The sequence below is a fragment of the Homo sapiens genome, chromosome 9, assembly GCF_000001405.40.
Source record: "Homo sapiens chromosome 9, GRCh38.p14 Primary Assembly".
In the NCBI taxonomy this organism is placed as follows: domain Eukaryota; kingdom Metazoa; phylum Chordata; class Mammalia; order Primates; family Hominidae; genus Homo; species Homo sapiens.
The window spans coordinates 17505226-17529140 of NC_000009.12; the positions used below are offsets into that span (position 1 = coordinate 17505226).

Below are 23915 nucleotides of genomic sequence, written 5' to 3' on the forward strand. Positions count from 1 at the left end.
AATGATGAAGACCAAACACTTCCCCCTATAATCAGGAAGAAGGCAAAGATTTCAACTCTCACCACTCTCTCTCAACATAACGTGGGAAATTCTAGCCAGCCTAATAAGGCAAGAAAAGGAAATAAAAGGCATCCAGATTGGAAAGGAAAAAGAAAAATAACCACTCAAAACAAAAACAAAAAACTTTACAGAATTAATGAGTCCAGCAAGATCTCAAGATGCAAAATCAACATGGAAAGATTGTGTTTCTATACACTAGTAAGCTAGTAAAAAAATGTGGAAAATGAAATTAAAAATACAATACAATGTACAATTTCCCGAAAAAGAGAAATACTTAGGTATAAAACCTGCAAAACATGCATAGTACTTGTGTATGAAAATTATAAAACACTAGCGAAAGAAATGAAAAAGATCTAATAAATTAGGAGACATAGTAAGACCATGGGTTAGGATACTTATGTTAAAGATGCCAGCTGTCTCCAAATTTATATAGAGATTTAACACAATTCCTACCAACATCACAGCAAGAGATTTAGGAAATAGAGAACATTTTTCTAAAATGTATATGGGAACTCAGAAACTAGAATAGCTTTTAAGTAAAACTAAGAGCATAATAGTGGGAGACATCACTTTACCCAGTTTCAAGGTGTATTAAATAGCTACACTAATCAGGAGTGTGTGGTGCTGGCAGGTAGAGGGCTGGACAAATAAATCAATGAAAAAGAATAGAGAACCAAGAAATACACCTAAGCAAATATGCCCAACTGATTTGAGACAAAGGTTCAAAAGCAATTCAATAGAGGCATAATCACCTTTTTGACAAATGGTCCTGAAGCAGTTGGGCATCTTGGGTTAAAAAAAAAAAAAAATCTTGACCTAAACCTCACACATCACACATTCAGACATAAATTACATCAAAATGGGTCAACATTTAAATGTAAAATGTAGAATATAACATGAGAGAAAATCTTCAGGACCTCAGATTTGGTGAAGAATTTCTAGCCATGACACCAGAAGCATGATGCAAAAAAGAAAAATTGATAAGTTTTACTTCATCAAAATTAAAAACTTTCACCCTGGGAATAGACAAGCTACAGACTGGGAGAAAACATTTGCAAATCACTGACAAAGGATTCATATCTAAAATAAACAATTCCCAAAACTCAACAGTAAACAACAACAAGGCAGTCCTCTGTGAGTAACATTTATTTATATCCTGGGAAATTATGAAATAAGCTTGGGGCTATGGCTGCTATAAGTGAAAGTTGTCATGTTTATGTGTGTTTCAGAATATGGGACAGCGGAAAGAGTGAATTTCATTCTTCAACGCTAGCCCTTACTCATCTACTGACAGCTTTGCCTATTTTAATTTCTTCTCCATATTATGCAGGATTCTTCCCAGTAGCAAAAATGACCTTTGGATTTAGAGGGTCGAAAGTGAAAATTACTATAATAAATTTGTAGCCACAACAAGAGAAGCTTACTTAATGTTCTCAAATAACTGTAAAAACAACAAAATGTACCAGAAAACATTTGAGAGAGCCTTTTATTGGCCTATGTTCAGAAGAGTTCATGAGATACATGGGCAGAAGAGTTGCTATTTTTTTCCTCTTAAAAAATTTTTAATTGATACATAATTTTACATACGTATGGGGTAAAATAGAATGTTTCAATGCATGCGTACATTGGGTAATAATTAAATCAGGGTAATTATATCTGTCACCTCAAACATTTATTACTTATTTGTCTTAAGAACATTCAAAATCCTGTCTTTATTTTATTTTAGATTCAGTGGGTACGTGTGTAGGTTTGCTAAATGAATACATTGCATGATTCTGAGCTTTGAGTTTCTAATAATCTCATCACCCAAGTAGCAAACAGTACCTGATACATAGTTTTTCAACCCTCTCTCCCTCCTTTTCCCCACTTTTGGAATCCCCAGTGCTTATTGTTTCCATCTTTGTATTTGTGTGTACCCAATGTTTATCTCCCACTTTTAAATGAGAACATGAGGTATTTTGTTTTCTGTTTCTGTATTAATTTGCTTAGGTCAATGACTTCTAGCTCCATTTCCACTGTTGCACAGGCTATGCTTTTGTTCTTTTTTATGGCTGCATAGTATTCCATGGTGTATATATCTTCCACATTTTCTTTATCCAATCCACCATTGATAGGCACTTGGGTTGATTCCATATCCTTGCTATTGTGAAGAATGCTGCTATGAACATACAAAAGTAGATATCATTTTAATAGAATGATTTACTTTCCTTTGCATATATAACTACTAATTGGGTTACTGGGTCAAATAGTAATTCGGTTTTTAGTTCGAAGAGTTGCTATTTCTAATTCCTACATTTCCATGCACGTAACTGCCTTTGGTATTAACACAAATTTATATAAGTGGCTTAATATAATGGATAAAAATGACTTTTTTGTTGCCTGTGACATGAAATCTTTCATCAAAAAGATGATTTTTTAAAAAAGCTTCGACTTTTAATTTTTAAATACACAGACATATTTGATCAGAAATTTTTTTCTGCTCACCAAGGAATGGTAGACACTACAAACACTTCTGCGCATAGTCCAATCCTCAGTTTCCTTCTTTCTTCAGCAGACACAGTCTACAAAACCAGAGTTTTGACATCAGCTCCTTCCAACACTTTTTGCCACATTCAACTTTCCTTTCACCTAGGAAATGATCATTAGGGATAATTTAAAAGAAGGTGGTGCCCCTGCCTTCTGTACTCTTACATTTTGTGTTAGAGAAAATGTTGCTCTTTGTTAATGCTGACCCTAGCGTGAAGGCCTCAGAGTCACCCAGAGAGAAGTATTAGAGACTTCCCTGGGTTCATGCTCCACCCTGTAGGTCAGAATTGTTTTAGCATACAACCCTCTGTGTTCTTCCTTAGTGCACTAACCGTGACACTCTCCTCATGAATTCAGTGATGGACCCAAGGCAGAAAAAGAAAAGCATAGTCAAGACATTTTTATTTTCCAGATTTTTCTTTATTTTTATATGACATTTTATTTCAAGATAATTTAACATTCACAAGAAGTTGCAAAAATAGTAAGCAGAGTTTTTGAATACACTTCACCCAGATTCCCTGAATGGTAACATCTTACATAACCACAGTACACTGTCCAAACCAGGAAGATGGCATTGGTACAATATTTTTAACTAAAATATAGACCATAGATGGATTTAAGTTTTTACATTCACTTCGTTGGAGTGTTTTTAGGACATTTTGTCACATGTATAGATTATACAAGCATTACCACAATTGAGATACAGAACTGTTCCATCAGCACAAAGACTATTCCTCATGTTACCCCTTAGCACTCACACCCTCCCTTTAACTCTAATCCCTGGCCGCCACCGACCTGTTCATCATCACTATAATTTTGTCACTGAGAGTGTTATATAAATGGAATTATGGAATGTATAGCCTTTTGACATTGGCTTCTTTCAGAGAGCATAATGTCCTTGAAATCCATCTAAATCATTGTATATATCAATAGCCCACTTATTTTTAATTGCTGAGTAGCATCTCATTATATGGACATACCACAATTGGTTTATTCATTTACCCGTCAAAGGACACGTGCAATTACACACCACTCTTGAAGGTCAGGGACTAGGAAAGAATATGATTGAAAAATTGGTTACAATGAAATCTGGAGAAGAGGTTTTTAGATGGACCCCTCTGAATGAGCAAATAATGTGAAGATATTTACATCCCATGTCATGCTCACCAAAGGGTGACCTCAGCGAGGAGGATTTTAATAATCAAATTGATAGGATAGGATAACCTGCTCTGTAGATGCACGTCAGCTTCTTTCTCCAACCACCCCTGTCTTTGCCCAGTGGGCTTCTGAGCAAAGTGGCCATGGTGGCAGGGATAGAAGTTATGGCATATGCTCAGAAGCAGGAATTTTCACTCACCAAGGCTGACCTGGCTATGGCCACTACTGAGTGCCCAATCTTTCAGTAGCACAGACCAACACTCAGCCCTTGATATGGCACCATTTCCTGGGGGTGATCAGCCAGCTACCTGGTGGCATGTTGATTACATTGGACCACTGCCATCATGGAAGGGGCCAGGTTTTGTTCTTACTAGAATAGACACTCTGGATGTGGGTTTGCCTTATTTGCACAAAATGCTTCTGCCAAAACTACCATCTGTGGACTTACAGAATGCCTTATCCACCACCATGGCATTGCACACAGCATTGTTTGTGATCAAGGAAGTTACTTCAAGCAAATGAAGTGTGGCAATGGGCCTGTGCTCATGAAATTCATGTTCGTCACCATCCTAAATCAGCTGGTTTGATAGAATAGTGGAATGGCCTTTTGAAGACTGTTACAGTGCCAGATAGGAAGTAAAACTTTGCAAGGTATGGCAAAGTTCCCCAGAAGGCTGTATACACTTGAAATCAGTGTCTAATATATGGTGCCATTTCTCCCATAGCCAGGGTTCATGGATCCACAAATCAGGGGGTGGAATTGGGAGTGGCACCTCTCATCATTATCCCTAGTGACCTATTAGCAAAATGTTTGCTTCCTGTTCTTGTGACTTTATGCTTTCCTATCCTAGAGGTCTTAGTTCCAAAGAGAGAGATGCTTCCACCAGGAGACACAACACTGATTTCATTGCACTGGAATTTAAAACTGCTGCCTGGCTGCTTTGGCTTCCTCATGCTTCCAAAGCAACAGACAAAGAAGGGGGTTACATTGCTGGCTGGGGTGAGTGATCCTGACTACCAAGGGGAAATTGGACTACTACTCTACAATGGAGGTAAGGAAGAATATATCTGGAATACAGGTGATCCTTTACGGTATCTCTTAGTATTACTATGCCATGTGGTTAAAGTCAATGAAAAACTACCACAACCCAATTCATTCAGGACTGCTAATGGCCCAGACACTTCAGGATTGAAGGTTTGGGTTTCCCACCAAGAAAAGAACTACAACCAGCTGAGGTGTTTGGTGAGGGGAAAGGGAATAGGGAATAAGTAGTTGAAGAAAGTTGTTAGAAATACCACATAACCACAGTGACCATATGACCATAGTGACCACATGACCAATTACATAAATGAGAAATACATTTATCTGAGTATTTCCTCCATATTTTGAAATGAATATGTTTGTGCATGTGTGTTCAGTTGACAAGGGTGGACTTGATGAATTTTGTGTGTCAACCTGATTGGGTCATGGTGCTCAGATATGTGGTCAGACATTCTGGATGTTTCTGTGAGCATGTTTTTGGATGAGATTAACCTTTAAGTCAGTGGACTTTCAGTAAAGCAGATTGCCCTCCATAATGTGGGATGGGCCTCATTCAGTTAGTTGAGTACAAGAAAAAGACTACTGTCCCCCAAGCAAGAGAGAAGTCTGCTAGCAGTTTGCCTTTGGACTTGAATTACAACATTGGCTCTTTCTGGGTCTCCAGCCTGCCTGCCCACTCTGCAGATTTTGGACTTGCTAGGCTCCATAATTCCATGAGGAAACTCCTCAGAATAAATCTGTCTGTTTCCCCATGTTGGTTCTGTTTTCCTAGAGAACCCTAATACACCAAGTTTTGGCTATTGCATATAAAGCTATCATGAATATTCAAGTACAGGTTTTTGTATGAACATAAGTTTTCACTTCTCTAGAGGAATTACCCACAAATATGATTGCTGGGTCATATAGTAAGTGTGTGTTTAAATTTATAAGAAACTGCAAAAGTGTTTTCTAGGGTAGCTATAACACTCTGCAACCCCACCAACCATGTCTGAGAGATGAAGTTGGTCTGCATCTTCTCCAGGACTTGGTACTCTTAATAGTTTTAACTATTCTAATGGGTATGTAGTAGAGATATTTTTCTTTTTGAGTTCTAGTCCAGCTCCACCATTCTCACCCCAACATTTGTCATCATTTTTTGTTTTTCTGTCTCCAAAACCTGCTTATGTGGTCTTTTTAGAAAGCATGGGATGATAAGGACAGGTTGATGGGAATTGGATCAGACATATATAACTCTTCTCCAGAACTATTACCTGGACAATCACCTCCCAGCAATTATCATGGGTTTTACAAGGAACTTTGAAAAAGCAGGTGTCATTATCTATCACTGCATAATAAATTTCTCTAAAACCTAGTGGCTTAAAACAACATTTATTTGGGCCAGTGTCTGTGGATCAAGAATCTGGGTCCTCTGACACTGGATCTCTCACAAGGCTGCAGTCATCGCAAGGCTTGACTCAGAAGGATTCACTTCCTAGCTCTTCCATATGGCTGTTGGCAGGATTCAGTTCCACACAGTTCAGTTGTTCTCAGTTGGACTTAGGGCTTCCTTGCTAGCTATTGGTTGGAGTCTGTCCTCAGTCCTTTGCCACACGAGTCTCTTCAATATGGCAACTTGCTTTATCTCTCTCTCTCTCTCTCACACACACACACACACACACACGCACACGTGCACACCCACACACACACACCAGGAGGGGATTAGACAAGAGCGTGAATAACAAGTGGTGGGAATTATTAGGAGCCATTTCATGAGCTGCCCACCACAGCAGGTGTTTAGGTTTGGTGCTCTAGATAAAGGGGAGGCTACTGGGGAAATTGCCTTGAAGCTGTCTGCAAGGTGAGCATAGAGTGGACTTAGAATAAATATTTATTTGTGAAGGTTTAGGGGAGGAAGACAGATGCAGCTTATGGGTTGCAAAATTACAACTACTTCTTGGTACCACCATAGGATATACATAAAAAGAACCCTGCCTAGAGTGAGGTCTGTCACATAAAGATGCTCAACAGGTGAAATTATGGAGGTATTTAATACCATTTCTAGACTTGAGATCAAGAGGTTGGGACAGCACAATTATTCTTCCACAGTAAATGAACTAAAACCAGTGTCAGAAATCTACAAATTTAAAAGGCCAACTAAGTCCATTCTATAGACCTTTCTCAGATTTGAACTGTGGAAACAATGTTGAAAGCAGGAAGCAGGCAGTGTAAAGCATTAGAGATTCAAAGCCAAAGTAGAATAAGCCCTGGACCCCTGAAATCTACATACCGTATCAGTAGCCTTAGGAGGCCTTTTATCAATTTAAACTGAAGCTAAAGAATACTTTTCATAAAAAAGAATGACATCATTTCCTTTGCAGCAACATGGATGCAGTTGGAGGCCATTATCCTAAATGAATTACTGCAGGAACAGAAAGTCACATACCACATGTTCTCACTTTATAGTGGAAGCTAAACAATGGTCCACATGGACATAAAGATGGAAACAGTCGACTACAAAATAGGGGAGAGAGTAAAGGGGCAAGTGTTGGAGAAACTACCTGTTGCATACTATGTTCACTAGAAGAGCAGCAAACCCCAGCGTTACATAGTACATCCATGTAACAAACTTGCACAGGTACCCCCCAAATCTATAATTAAGAAAAGAAGAGAGTTCAAAAAAGAATACTTTTCAAAACATGTATTTTCACAGCATATTCATACTCCTAAAAAGAAATACCAGAATCTGATAAGATTAGTTACGTCTGGAGAGAGGACTGGGAGCTCTGTGCTAGGAGACACACAGGACTTTTATAGTCTATCATTTTTTTGTTTTTGTTTTTGTTTGAGATGGAGTCTTGCTCTGTCACCCAGGCTGGAGTGTGGTGGCGCGATCTCAGCTCACTGCAAGCTCCGCCTCCCGGGTTCACGCCATTGTCCTGCCTCAGCGTCCCGAGTAGCTGGGACTACAGGCGCCCACCACTATGCCCAGCTAATTTTTTTTGTATTTTTAGTAGAGATGGGGGTTTCACCGTGTTAGCCAGAATGGTCTCAAACTCCTGACCTCGTGATCCGCCCTCCTTGGCCTCCCAAAGTGCTGGGATTACAGGCCACGGTGCCCGGCCTAGTCTATCATTTTATACTGGTTGAATTATGTTCCCATGGACATAAATTAAAAGAAAAATGAAAATACTTTTAATAACAATTTTGACTCTTTTAAACCATCTGTGAGGCAAAGATAAATAGGATGGAAAAGGCAAACTATCTAGAAAATAATGAAAATGAGAATACTTTTTTTTTTTAATCCAAAAACCTATGAGACATAGCTAAAGCTCTATTTAAAAGAGAATTAATAGCTCCAAAAGTGTTCATGTTAAAAATGAACTGAAAAAATTAAATATAGAACTTAAGAAATATAAAATATCATGCTGGGTGCAGTGGCTCACGCATGTAATCCCAGCACTTTGGGAGGCCCAGGCGGGCAGCTCATTTGAGCCTAGGAGTTCAACACCAGCCTGAGCAAAATGGCGAAACCCCTTCTGTACAAAAAATACAAAAAACTAGCCTGGTGTGGTGGCATGCACCTGTAGTCCCAGCTATGCAGGAGGTTGAAGCGGGAGGATAGACTGAACCCAGGAGGTTGAGGCTGCAGTGAGCTGTGATTGTGCCACCGCACTCCACACTCCAGCCTGGGCAACAGAATGCGACCCTGTCTTTAAAAAACAAATAAATAAGAAATAAATAAAATCAAACCTAAATAGAATAGGAGGAAAGAATTCATAAAAGTGAAATTATTTTAAAAGAAAAACAACTGAAAAAAAGATATAACGAAGCTGATCTTTACAATTAAACTAACTCTGGTAAGCCTAGTTAAGGATAAAAGAGAAAAGTGAAAACATGCAACATTAGTAATTAGAAAAGATGCAAAAGGCATTTTAAAAATTGTGAAAGAATAGGTACAGGTCAATTTTAAGGTAATATATGATTTGCTAGCCAAATATAAATAACCCAGATTCACTTAAGAAGTGGTAGAAAGTCAGCCAGGCACAGTGGCTCACACCTGTAATCCCAGCACTTTGGGAGGCTGAGGTGGGAGGATCGCTTGAGCCCAGGAGTTTGAGACCAGCCTAGGCAACATAGTGAGACCCCATTTCTGCAAATAGGTTAAAAAAAAAAACTGGGCGTAATGACACATGCCTGTAGTCCCAGCTACTGGGGAGGCTAAGATGGGAGGATCGCTTGAGTCTGGGGACTTGTGGGTGCAGTGGGCTGAGACTGCATCACTGTACTCCAGCCTGAGAGACAGAGCAAGATGCTGTCTCAAACAAAACAAAAGAAGTGGTAGAAAGTCAAATAAACCGTGACACATAACAGAAATTAGAATATAGATAAAGATCTGCCATTTAGAAAGGCAGCAGGACCAGATGACTTTATCATTAACATCGATCTAGCCTCAAAAAACAGACAATTCCTTTTCTTATAACTACACACAGAAGAAGATGAAAGGATCCCATAAGTGATGGTATGAAACAAGGATAGGCTGAATAACAAAATCAGATAAAAATACCTAAAAAGAGAACTATAAATCAATATTTACTAATAAAAACATAAGTATTCTAAGTAAAAATAGAAATTTTAGTTTATTCAAAAAACAGCATACTTGGCCAAGTAGATTTTATTCCAAGTGTACTGGTTTTTGAAGGGAAGCCCGGCCTAGATCAGCTGACTGTCAGCCAAGCCATAGACTCCTGAGCAATATTAATGCTTACTGTGGCATGCCACTGAGATTTTGTAGTTGTTTGGCATACAGAATTATTGTGACTGTAACTCTAGTTAACTATTATAGTTAGCTCCTCTGAACCATGTGCCTTTATGACCTTTTCCACTTGTTCCTTCATGTTCTTTTGTAGGAACTAAAGCCAGCATTTTGAGGATAGAAGCCATGTGCTAGGATAAAGGAAAAGAAAACTAGAAGGAACCTGGGTCCTAAATTACCACAGGGCTACCATGTAGCCCTGGACTACCTACACTCAGATGTTTTTATGTTTATTCCATTGTCATTTTTGGTGCTCTGGCATATGAAGTCAAACCAAATCCTGACTTATATACAAATGGTCTGTACATTGTCAAATCCTATGGCCAGTTTTCAGCCTTTCTCCTACTTCATCCGTCAGCAACATTTGGCCCTGCTGGTCACGCTTTCTTGAAAGCCTGTCTTCACTTTGCTTCTTGTACCCCACTCTTTCATGAATCTTCTTTTAACTCATTGGCTACTCCTTCTCAGCCTCAATTTCTAGATAGCCCTCATCTTCCTTAATTCTAAATGTTAGGGGTACTACCAGGCTCACTTTTAAGAATTTTTTTTAATAAATATTCAGTCTGTAGTTGATCTTAACTAATTCCTTGACCTTAAGTACAATCTATAAGCTGTCAACTCCCAACCTTATTTTCCAGCCCTGACATCTCCCCTGATCTCATCTTACTGCTTATTCAACATCTCTACTTGATGGTCTAATAGGTATCCCAAATGTCACATGTCCAGAGCTGAATTTGTGCTGCATTCCTATCACTCCCCCCAGTCAGTAAGTGGCAACCCTAAACTTCCATTTTGTTAGGCCAAAAAATCTTAGCATCATCCTGTCTCCTCTTTTTACTCATACTCCCTTCAATGTATCGGGAAATTCTACTGACTCTACCCTCAGAACGTATCCAGCATGCAACAGCTCATCACTGCCTTCCCCATTTCCACTCCAGTTCAGACCGTCAACTGAACTACTGCATCACTTTAATTGGTCTCCCTGCTTCAGCTGTTGCTCTATAATACAGCATATTCACCACCCAGCTTTCATTTAAAACACATGAGACCATGTCATTCCTCTGCTCACAATCCTCAAGTCACTTCCCATCTTACTCAAAGTAACAGAAGAGTCTTTCCTTCAGCCTTCAAGGCCTGCATGACCTGGCCACCAGTTCTCTATCACACTTCATCTTCTTCCTCTCCTTATACTCACTCCACATCACTACAGTGGCCTCATCAAACACACTCAAACTGTGCCCAACTCAGTACCTTTGCACTGCAGTTCTCTGTCTGGAATTCTGTCTCCCTGGCAGCCACATGATTTTATCCCTCCTTTCATTCAAACCTTTACTCAAAGACACCTCTTTAAAGAGGCTTACCCTGACTACATTCTCCACAGCAACATATTTCACATTGCACTCTCTACCATCTACCCTGCCTTATCTTTCTTCTTAGTGGTACCATGTTGCACATATCTGTGTATCACCCATCTCTTCTATAGACCGTAAGTCATGTAACAGTGTGGGGGAGAAAAAGGAATAACTTTGCTCACCCATTGCAAGGGTTGTGGCTGACGCTCCTGTAACAAAAGATTAACAAGAGAAAAGCATAACAAATTTATTCAATTAATGTTTTATGTGATATGGGAACCTTCAGACATGAAGACCCGAAGACCCAGGAAAAAGGGTATAACTTTATACCCTTAGGTTCAATGAAGAAGGAACAGTTGTGCAGAAATGTAACTGGACAAAGGGGGAGTCTGACTTCACACACTACGGAAAACTCAACAGTCCCTATTTGTTTAGATTCTTCTTGGCCCCCCCTGGATAATATGCCTTTACTTTGGGTATAGGGTGGGACATCTGTCACATCAGGGTCCTATGGCCTACTTTCATGGAGGGTAAGTCAGCGAACCCCTTTATGGCCAGCTCTCACATAGACGGGTGGAAGGTCAGAGAGTGGCCTTTCCATTTCTGCTGTTTTCTCAGTTTCCAAGGTGCCATATTTTGAGGTAGCATTTTCTGAGCCCCAACAACAGCAAGAACTTGATCTAGATTTTGTCTCTTTGTTTTGTTGTTATAGATGTAATCCTAGTGCCTATAACAGTGCCTGACACATAGTAAGGATCAAATAAATATTCATTGAGGAAAGGAATCTTTCTATCTCGAGCACAATCTTTCCATCTCCTGGAATGCAGTGGGCACTGCAATAAATGTTACATTCCTAAAGTAATGGGATCAAAAGGTATCTTGAGTTGAATCCTGTCCCCCAAAAGATATGCTGAAGTCCTAGCTCTCCTGTATCTCATTTGGAAATAAGGTCTTGGCCGGGCGCGGTGGCTCACGCCTGTAATCCCAGCACTTTGGGAGGCCGAGACGGGTGGATCACAGGTCAGGAGATGGAGACCATCCTGGCTAACATGGTGAAACCCCGTCTCTACTAAAAATACAAAAAAAAATTAGCCAGTGTGGTGGCGGGCGCCTGTAGTCCCAACTACTGGTGAGGCTGAGGCAGGAGAATGGCGTGAACCCAGGAGGCGGAGCTTGCAGTGAACCAAGATTGCACCCCTGCACTCCAGCCTGGGCAACAGAGCGAGACTCCATCTCAAACAAAACAAAAAAAAAAAGTTAAAAATAAATAAAAATAAAAATAAATGAAAAAAAAGAAATAAAGTCTTTGTAGATGTATTCAAGTTAAGAAAAGACTGGATTAGCATGAGCCCACATTCAATACCTAGTGTCCTTAGGAGGGGAGAGAGATTGGGAGACACAAAGATACACACAGAGGGAAGAGGACCATGTGCAGACGGAGGTATAGTTTGGAGTTAGGCTGCCTCGGCTGAAGGAAGGCCAAGGACTGCCAGCCACCACCAGGAGCTAGAACAGACCCATGGGACATTCTCTCCAGCAAGGCCATTGGAGGGAACATGGCCCTGAGGATACCTTGGTCTTGGATCTCCAGCCTCTAGAAGTGTGAAGGAATACATTTCTGTTGCTTTAAGTCATTCAGCTTGTGGTCATTGGTTATGGCAGCCCTGGGAAAGTAATACAAAGGGTGGGGAGAACTAGGCTTTCAGCATGATCAGTTACCTCATCTGATTAAATGCCAGAATTAGAACTCAGGCCTTCCGACTCTGTGCTTCTCAACTTTATTTCCTTTAACCACCCCCCAAGGAGCCTCTTTAGGCTTTTTTTCTTCCCTAATCACCTCCTACCCCCACCTCCATAAAGTTTTTTTTCTTTTTCTTTTCCTTTTTTTTTTTTTTTTTTTTTTTTGAGACGGAGTCTTGCTTTGTCACCCAGGCTGGAGCACAGTGGCATGATCTGATCTCGGCTCACCGCAACCTCTGCCTCCTGGGTTCAAGTGATTCTCCTGCCTCAGCCTCCCAAGTAGCTAGGATTACAGATGTGCACCACCACACCCAGCTAATTTTTGCATTTTTAGTAGAGATGGGGGTTTCACCATGTTTGCCAGGCTGGTCTTGAACTCCTGACCTCGTGATCTGCCTACCTCGCCCTCCCAAAATGCTGGGATTACAGGCATGAGCCACCGTGCCTGGCCTCCATAAAGTTTTAATACCACAGATATGCAGTATACTGTTTATGTGCTGTGGCCCTTTGAAGGGCCATAGATCATTAGAATATCTAAGTTTTAAGATTTTGCCCCTCCTTCCAAGAATTCCAAATTTTTACCTCCTGGCAGAGGGAAGTGTGGCATTGATAATGCATGCTTTCAACTGAAATATTATCTGATAATGGCCATAAATGAAATATTTATTTTTCTGTTATCAGGAAAAGAAATGTAGGTACAGCTCATGAATATTTATGTCAGCTCTCCCTCTGTCCTATGATGGGATTATACTTCTATACCTGCTCAGAAGTGGAGTGAGGCCCTGTGACTTGTTTTAGGCAATGAAATGTGAGTGTAAGTACCATGTATCACCTTCCAGTAGAAGCTTTGAGACATTGTGTAATTCCCTACCTTCTCCTTCCTGCCCCTGTAATTATGGAAACACAGGGTGTGATGGAGCCTCTGGGAGCTGGGACCCCAAGTGAGAGTGATGAACAGAGCTTCCCTGATGGCTCCCTGTGCACCACATCTATGAATAAGAAATAAGCTTCTGCTGTGAAAAGCCACTGAGACTTGTTTGTTTAGTTTTTGAGACAGGGTCTCTGTCACCCAGGCTTGAGTACAGTGGTACGATCATGGCTCACTGAACCTCTGCCTCCCGGGCTCAAGTGATCCTCCTACCTCAGCCCCCTGAGTAGCTGGGACTACAGGTGTGTGCTACCAGGCCTAGTTATTTATTTATTTATTTATTTTTTAAAGAGAGGGCTTCATTATGTTTCCCAGACTGGTCTCAAACTCTTGGGCTGAGGCATTCTGCCCACCTCAGCCTCCCAAAGTGCTGGGATTACCAGCGTGAACCACTGCCCCAGCCACCACTGAGATTTGAGTGTTTTTTTTTTTTTTTAATCAAAGAAAAACGTATCCCTTCCTCACAAACACAGTATTGCATGAGGGAAAAAGTCAGATGCATAAAATTAACTGTTCTTTTCTCCTTACTTTTAATTTAACATGGTACTCACAAGGGAAAATAAAAACTCCAATAATGTTTTAAAATGTAATTAAATAGAACATTTCTGAGCTTCTTGTTTAAAACTTAACTTCTCACTCACTTACTGTATATTAAATTCTGAAACATAAATAAAACAAAGGTTCACTGCTCTAGAACTCTAAGTTAGAACTTCAATTCAAGTATAGATTGAACTGTTGTAAATACATGGGATGCAGGGAGACTTGCCAGGACTGAGGGCTCAAAGCTTTTTTTACACTTTCTTTGCAAGATATATGGTGCTGGATCATGGACTCCATCACCGATGAAAAATAAAATTATGTGTTTATTGGATTTGAGTGACCTTTTCTTCCAACAATCTCAGGAAACCAAACTTTTAGCACATCCACTCCTTAAGTAATTTTAACATGCAGAGAGGATGAGAAGGTCAAACAGTTACAAGAAGTCTGCTAGCCAATGTCAGCGGAATGCATTAGGTGTCAGTAGAGTTTCTATTTCAAATATTAACAAACAGGACATAAAGCTACAGTATAGCTGGGGTGAAGCAAGAGGCATGCCGGGAAATGTGCTAAATAACCCTCAGGAATCGGGCAGTGCAGCCAGCCTTCTCAGAGAGTGCAGGAGAGGAAGAAGTAAAAGGCAATGTTTTTAAAACCGAAAGCTAGGATTTTTATCAGGAAAGATGCCTCACACTGGAGCCTTACCCTCATTCAAATATTTATTTTGCTTGTGTAAATTCAGTCATTTGTAAAGGTAGAAAACTCTCTTTTCCATTTGCTTCATTAATTACTGTTTGCCTCCTTTCACTGAACAAATTTTGCAAGATTTTATGAAGTGTTTTCTTTGTCTGATCTTCTGTAATAGCCACCTATAGTTTTTGACACTGGAAGTGGATTCAGCCCAGAAAACAGAGCCACTGCAAGTGTTACAGGGGCCAAAGGATTTAATAAAGGAATTAGGGTTATACATATGTGGGAGAGCTACTGGGAGCGTGGGGCTGAACAGCAGGTAGAGGATCAGAGAAACAGTCCCTTAATAACTTCTGCCTAAAGAGCTGGAGCAGGAAGGGAAGCTGTTCTGGCCACCAGGTCCTCCTGAGAATAACAGCTTAGCTTTTCAAATCCCATGCAAGTTCCTCTCACTGGCAAAATCCAACCCTGAATTGTATGGGAAGGGCATTCTGAAAAACATGGCTCCCCGCTTGGAGGTGAGAGGTGGTACTGCTCAGATGACCAAATGCAATCCAGCATAGTTAATTACACATGAAAAGGGAGCTCTATTTATTGAAGTTGAGTCTGTTTATTTTAACTGATAATTGGGTTGCAAGCTAAAATTATGAATTCAGTTCAGTAAGTTGCTCTGTTAAGAGCAAAATATCAGCTGATGTATTTTTAGTTTTTCATGAAATGATTTTCATCACATTTGAGATGTGTGTTTGCAACAAAGAAAAGCTCTAATGCTAGTGGTCAGGGCAGCATCCCCCACCCTGCCTTGTTGCCTTGGCGATGGAGGCTAGACAATGGCAATATTTTGAGTAGCCTATTTTGTCTTCATCAAGAAAATAATCGAAGCTGCTTCTTCTTCTGGTTCTGAAACGTAATTCAGGTCTGAAGCATGAAAAATTCTGTGGATTGTTACTTGCACTAGAATTGAAAACTGGCTTGTAATAGGAGTCTATAAATGAATAAATGAGCATTTAAACTGTTTATCTGTAAGTAATCTAACTAGACAAGGCACGAGATAATTATCAAGGTGATGTTTTAAAATGAAGAAGAAAATCCACAGGCTTTGGTTAAAGATTCTGCATTATTTAGGATGTGATTCCCAAACCTTCAGGGTTCCCAGAAGACAGAAAAGAGGCCCCTTGTGGTTTAGAAAAGCTAGAGAGAGAGAAAGGGAGAAAAAGAGAGAGAGAGAGAGAGAGAGAGAGAGAGGAAATGGAACATAAAGAATGGTAAAGGCAGCTACAAAGGCACTAATAGAGCAATCTTAGGTGTAAGTAAGAAAAGAGAACACTCCTGTGATCAGGTTCTGTAACAAGCTGAACAGAAATGTGATTTAGCTTGTTCTAGAAAAGGACGACTAGCAAGAGACTTGCTTAATTGAATAATTCTTTTTTTCCCCCGAATTCACTCTTGAGTATGTCTGGTGTGGATAATACTTGTTTAATAGCCTAGCTTTTAGCCATTTTTACATAGAGAAACCTATTCCTTGAACAAAAGCCAGACTGCATTTTTTCAGCTTATTTCATATTTAGGATCGCCCTTTTCTCCTAGATGGTGTGGAACTCTACTATCACCAGGTGGCAATTCACAACTTTGCAGGTGAGAGACAAAGGTGAAAGGAAACTGTTCCTTTCAAGTGCTAACAGCATTGCAATTATGATCATTTTTGACATTACAAGCCATAATTGCCAGGACAAAATGCATTTCAGAGTTTGGGCTGCTTCAACAAGTCCTGAAAAATTAATTACTAACAGTTTCCTTCAGAGTTGCTCTAAAAAATTGCAAATGCTGATTTATTTATAGCTATAGCATTTCAAAGATTTTATTTTTTCCCTTAAAATTGCTGTCAATATTGGGAAAACCTGAGTATAATTCTGCCTATATTATTTTCTATCATATTGGGTTGTAGAATCATGACCTGTTAGCTCAAATAGGCATTAGCAACTACTGTTTACAATGAGATACCCCCACCCCACCTGTATGCATTTTCTGCTATACTTTGCTATGATAGTCTCAGTTTCCAGTCTCCTGTCTCCTATGACATAGGACTACCTAGCTCCCAGGGATTTTTTAAGGATTAAGGAGGTAATAATACATGGACGTGGCTAGTATAGTGCCTGCCACATAGTAAATGCTAAATAAATGTCAGTTGCCTTCCCTCCATCCATACAATTTAGGTGCGTAATGGGATGACTACCGATTGTCGAGCTGTGTATCAGGCATTGTGCTAACCGGTTTCATTCCTCAAACAGCCCTATAAGGAAAAGGAGGCTCAGCCGCTAACTTGCCCAAGATTCCACAGCAAATACCTGGCCGACCTGGAAATTAAACCTCAGGACTTTCAAACCCTTTACTGCTATGCCATCCTGACCTTGATTCTTCACACCAAATATGAAATCCCATCATACCTCAGGCAGCCTTTTCATCACTTCGGGGGCTGGGCTCCTATGGGAGAAAGATTCTTGTGGTTTTACGACATTTAGTTTTTGAAACTACAGTACAGCCTTGCCAATCCCTAATGCTTGAGATTGACACAGAGAAGCAGACTTGGCTGGCACACAACCGAAAGTCGGCCTGCCTTCCCTCCAAGGTACAAGGATATTCAGGCTATCTAGCTTTTTGTATGACACACGTGAGACTAAACTAAAAAAAACCCACTTTTTTAAAATTTAAAAGATACTTTTATTCCAAGGATTGATGCCCAAGCGTGTATCCAACGCTGCCCCCTGCCCACCTTGATTTTCCATTCACCTGCATGATGCCCGCTGACAAAATTCTCTTGATTCCTGTCTACTTCTCCAAGTACCATTAAATTCTGCTTCTCTCTTCCTGGTTCCTGTGATTTCCAGAGAGTCACTGTCTTCTCATTTGGTGCCCAGCTTTTTGGGCTCCAAAAAACTCCATTTCCAAAATCACTGAGTAAAAGGTACGAATGTCCCTCTGGGTATGTGGATAGGTTGGAAACCTTTAGAATGCAGATGCCTAGAGTATGTTGAGAGGCCCCCAGTTTCATCACCACCAGAGAGCACCTTTATGACCAATGTTGACACTCCACTATCTGGATAATGCCTCATCTAAAAAAGCCTTATAACCATAATATTGGTCCTAGAACGTGAACAGGGGTTTTAGGTAACTTCTGATGGACTTATACATACGTTTTTTGTTTTTGAGATGGAGCCTCACTCTGTGGCCCAGGCTGGAGTGCAGTGGTGCAATCTCAGCTCACTGCAACCTCCGCGTCCTGGTTCAAGCGATTCTGCTGCCTTAGCCCCCTTGAGTAGCTGGGATTACAGGTGTCCACCACCACACCTGTCTAATTTTTGTATTTTTAGTAGAGACGGGGTTTCATCATGTTGGCCAGGCTCATCTCGAGCTCCTGACCTCAAGTGATACTCCTGCCTCAGCCTCCCAAAGTGCTGGGATTACAGGTGTGCGCCACCATGCCCAGCCCATGTATATTTCTTCAAGGTGCCTTACCTAGTGAAAATAAATATAGATATAATTCTACCTTGATTTTTCACAGTGGAAAAATGAACTGGAAGATTATCTTATGGATTATTTGCTTTGTTTTTATTTAACGGTAGAACTGAATGAACTTCAGCCATGTACAATCCTTTTTTTGTCATTTGCTTAATATCTCTGAGACTTCTAGAACTTTTACACTAATATCTCAGGAAGTAGAATAGCTGGTATCTTTTGAAACTTTTAAGAGGGACCCCGTAAAGAAGCTTGGTCCTATAACAGAGGAATCAATTAAAGCTTTTGCGTTAAGGAGCACTCATCAGTTGAACATATTCCTCCATTACAGGGTTGACCCCTGTGGATCTGTAGAAATTTCTTTGGTCAAAAAACATTAAGAGCAGTTTTCACTAATAAATCTCTTGCTTTTTCCTCTTAGAAACGTCCCTTTACTCTTATGTCAAATGTGTGAAATGTTTTCTAAAATGAGAAAGGTTCAAAAGTGACTATTTGTAAATTGACAACCTGTATGTCAGCTTTCTGTATATACCAGTTAATGGTAATTTGATATTTAATCAGAGTTTTCCAGAGAAGCAGAACTAATATTCTGTATGTGTTTATATGTATGTGCATACATATGTATTTTATTTATTTGTTTGTTTTGTTATTTAGTTATTATAAGGGATTGGCTCATGGGGTTATGGAGGCTGAGAATTTCTAAGATCTGCCATTGGTAATAGAGACCCAGGATAACTGATGATGTACTACCAGTCTAAAAGCCTATATTTCAGTTTGAGTCTAAAGGCAGGAGAAGACTGATGTCCCAGCTCAAGGCTGTCAGTCAGTGGGAGTTTCCTCTTAGCCTTTTTGTTGTATTAGGGCTTCCATCAATTGAATAAGGCCTTCCCATAATTAGAGAGGGCAGTCTGCTTTATTCAGTCTACCTTTTCAAATGTTCAAATGTTAATCTCATCCAGAAACATTCTCATAGACACACCCAGAATAATGTTTGACCAAGTGTCTAGGTACTGGATGTCCCATTCAAGTTGACACATAAACTTAACAATTACAATATTCCATTGCTCATAACATTGAATGCAGCTTAAACTTTCATTCTCAGCTTATATTAAGGCTGTTAAGAACTTGACTATTTGTTGTAAACTTTAAATCCTTCTCTTTGTTAATTATGATTCAGTAGCTCTATCAAAACACATTTTATGTGTGCTTTAGGCATGTTTTTAAGAATAAAACCTTGGCTTGTATAATACATGTATTTCCAAGTTTAGGCTCTAGAGAGTTACAAAGAAAAAGAAAAGCAGCCCCTGACACCTGGGAGACGGCTTCTTACTGTCCACTTGTCCTGTTGTTGCTAGGAGCTAGCCTTGGTATTTTCCTCTTAAACAATTTCACAGAATATCAAAATCAGTTAAGACCACTCTGTGACCATCAGAAATAAAGACAAAAACAAGATCACTCTCAAATCAGGTTTGAACATACACAATAACATAGACATTGTTGGACATTTTACTAATTTGTTTCATTTCATAAAGAACCCTATATGGAAAATGAGGCTCAGCTGCTAACTTGCCCAACATCCCTCAGCCAAAACATTACCCAAACCATAAAAATGACCAAAATATCCCTCCATCCTGATTAATATGCGTGACTATTGTAAACTTTAAAACTTAACTGATAAAAAAAAAACCTTTCAGTCATTTTTGAGGTACTGCAGGAATATTAAGTACATATAAACAGTAAATATTTTCTAAAAGAAAGGTAAAGTCACTAAATTATGTTTCTTTTTATGGGTACTGGAAAGTGTTTTTATATAATAACTTGTTTTTATAGCTATGAGATAGAAAAGATTTTAACTTCAAAATAAAAGGGAATATTGGCATGATTCAGAGTTTTTAAAAACTGGTTTACCATATAAAAATGTTGTTAGCATAACATTTTGATTTGTTCAAGACCAGTGTTATTTCTTATAATTCAAACTTTCCTACATTGGTTTGCGAGTTAAATGATCTACGTATGTTTCTGTAGCTTGTTTAAAATTAAAAATTACATATGTAATTGTATTCAACTAAATAGAATGATAATAAATATCCTTTTAAAAGACCTAATTTTATGAAAATGTATAATACTGTAAATAAAAAATATGTTAGCTAATTTGAAATTACCAGATCCTTCACTAAATTTAAGGTCATAGAGAAATGACTGAATTCATTATGAAAAGATCTTTGAAGGCCTAAACAATTACTAAACAACTTTTTAAAGACATACAAAACACTGGTTATGAAACATGATTTGACTCATTTCTTAAAATAACAATACATTAACAAAGCATACAAATGTCTTTGGACATTTTTATTTTTATTTATTTTTCTATTTCTATTTTTATTTTTTTTGAGACAGAGTCTTGCTCTGTCGCCCAGGCTGGAGTGCAGTGGCGCAATCTCGGCTCACTGCAAGCTCCGCCTCCCGGGTTCACGCCATTCTCCTGCCTCAGCCTCCTGAGTAGCTGAGACTACAGGTGCCCACCACCACACCCAGCTAATTTTTTGTATTTTTAGTAGAGACGGGATTTCACCATGTTATCCAGGATGGTCTCGATCTCCTGACCTTGTGATCCACCCACCTCGGCCTCCCAAAGTGCTGGGATTACAGGCGTGAGCCACCGTGCCCGGCCTGGACATTTTTGTATACATCATTTCCCTACTCAAAATAGCCAAAATGATTTGAAATAAGTGCTCATAGAGCAATAAATAAAATTAATTAGGTATGTCTAAAATTCTCTAAACTGTAATTAAGTAAATTACTATAAGAGACTTTGTCTACCAGACTTAGTACAAAAAAACTGACAAATTATAAAGTTTAACTTCTTTTGATAAATAAGTTGAATATGCTAACGTAAATATCTTTCAATTACTGAATACTTCCAAGTTAAAAGGAACATCTCATGCTAAACATCTCAGGGCACAAAGATTGATAAGACTGATACAATAAGTGTGCACCAAAATATTTTCCAGAATTCTAAATTCACAAATATTTTTCTCTTTTACTCATAAAGGGTCTGGACATACTGTAATGGGAATCATTTGAAACCTATTGCTTCTTTCACTCTTTCATTAGCCCCAATAGCCAAGTCATACGTATATTCTCTAAGAGCTTTAAGAACAATAGTAAAACATGTAAAAAAATTAATTAATTTAGCTCTAGAGTTTCCACTAAATAATGATTATCATGCTTTACAAACTCTTTAACAAAAATGCTTACAATTTTTCAGTTAAGTCACCTAATCTCTCTTTTTTTTTTGAGGCGGAGTCTTGCTGTGTCACCCAGGCTGGATTTTGAGGCGGAGTCTCGCTGTCGCCCAGGCTGGAGTTCTGTTGTGCAATCTCAGCTCACTGCAACTTCCGCCTCCTGGGTCCAAGTGATTCTCCTGCCTCAGCTTCCCAAGTAGCTGGGATTATAGGCGTGCATCACCATGCTCAGCTAAGCTATTTTCTGTATTTTTAGTAGAGATGGGGTTTCACCATGTTGGCCGGGCTGGTCTTCAACTCCTGACCTCAAGTGATCCGCCTACCTCAGCCTCCCAAAGTCCTGGGATTACAGGTATGAGCCACCGTGCCCGGCCACCTAACTTCTTATAAAAAGCTTTCCCTTGACACATCACTGTCCATTACTGTGACACTCCAAATTCAGCCACCCGCCCTCCTTTACCTGAAAAAGAAAGAAATCCCATTGTTCATACCCTGCACAGCCTTTCTACTGATTTGATTATCTTTGTTAATTCTCCATATTTAAAAAGAAAAACTAAAACTTTTCAAGCAGGCTATACTATCAGAGAATTAAATTTATCCTTAAATAGATAGAAGCTCTCACTGTGCTCTAGTTGATAAAGTTGTTTCCCATGGAGTACACACTGACAATTCTGATTCTGCGATGCATGTATACTGGGACGGAAGAATTCAGTACATTGATGGCAAATGGTGGGAGCTAGGATTCTTACTGGTGGAGTGGGTACTTACAGATAAGCAAGGGGAGGAGAGGAGAGTGATGTGTGTGGTAAAGAATTAGAGTTGGCAATATCAGCATGAACTCAGCTGAGACAGCCTGGAGGTAAAGGCACTGGAGTAGCAACAAGCACACCTAGCACTCAGATTTTGGTTTCCAATAAGAGGAACCAGGGCTCTTGGGAGAAATGGCTGATTCTGGAATTGGGGCAGGAAATATACAAGATGAGCCTGGAGTGTTGTGTAGTGCCAGAAGGTAAGACAGTGCTCAAAGAAAAACAAAACACAACAGAAAATCCTGCATTGATGGGGGTGTGTCAAAGAGATACAGGAGCCAGGGGAAAAGAGTCCCCAGTGGCTAAAACTGGAACAATTTGATCAACAAAATAAATATTTTGTGGCACACATTACAAAATAAAGATTAATGAGTCCATACTGACACAAATAATAGATTGAATAAATACCTGAATATATGGAGAAGAATAGACAAGTCTCCCAAGCAGAAGAAAATAAAGATAGAAGAAACATAGATATGTTTCCAAGTAATTTATGTAGAAACTCTGCCCTCAAAAGGGCTGGGGAAAACCCCCTACTCCTTATGTGTGGGCTGCATGTAGTGACTTTTTCCTGAAGAACACATTATAGAAAGCAGGGGGAAAATAGCAGCTGTACAGTGGAGAAACCTGACAAACACTACCTCAGCCAGCTGATCAAGGTTAACAATGGTGATAAGTCTCATTGGTAATACTGTGTGTACCTTCACATGCTGTGATGAAAATGGAGCTTTACCTCTGTGGTCTTTCTTCCCCCTAATCCATAATCCCAGCTTGATTATGAAGAGGACATTAGACAAACGCCAGTGAAGAAGCATCCTACAAAATACTCGACCAGAGCTCCTCAAAACTGTTATGCTCATCAAAAACGTCTGAGAAACTGTCCCACCCGAAAGGACACTGAGGAGATATGACAACTACATGTAATATGGTATCTGGGTAAGATTCTGCAACAGAAGAAGGATATTCGGTAAAAATAAGGAAATCTGAATAAACTATGGATGTTGGTTAATAAAAATACATCAGCATTGGTTCATTCATGGTAACAAATGCTCTGTACATTAAAAAATCCAGAGCAAAGCCCTACTTCCTTAAGCCTTGAATGCTGTAGTAAGTCCTTTCTGACACATTCTTAGTGAGATGTCCCATGAAGTGTGTTCTCTCTCAATGCCACGTGTAATAACACAACTCCAGGTGTATTTATAGTGCTCTTTGGCATTGGCAAAGCCATGATTCAATCAAATCCATGATGACCCTTAACAGGCTGACAGTGGGGAGTTTTAGATTTATGTTTTCTGAGAAGAAATCCTGTTTTTGGCTTAGTGTTGTTGTTCTTATTTTTATTTTTTAAACTTTTATTCAAAATATCATGCTCTTTTTTAATAGTATAGATTCTCAACAAGACTAAGTATTTCTCTAATTGACCTCAAGATGGCAGGCTTGAATAAAAGATATTTCCATTTTAAAGTTCTGGGCTTCTCAAAAATTCTCTTTGAATTTGGAATTACAAATGAATGCTGTTTTCC

General features: G+C 39.4%; 1 protein-coding gene across 2 annotated transcripts in view; it reads left to right on the forward strand.

Annotated features, from left to right (window-relative positions):
- CNTLN (centlein) overlaps positions 1–23409 on the forward strand; it is a 393595-nt gene extending 370186 nt beyond the window's left edge. For both annotated transcript variants that reach the window (XR_007061321.1, XR_007061322.1), the window contains exons 26-27: positions 4596–4796; positions 23163–23409. The gene's annotated coding sequence lies outside the window, so the exon portion shown is untranslated. The remainder of the gene's footprint in view (positions 1–4595; positions 4797–23162) is intronic.
- The last annotated feature ends 506 nt before the right edge of the window (positions 23410–23915 follow it).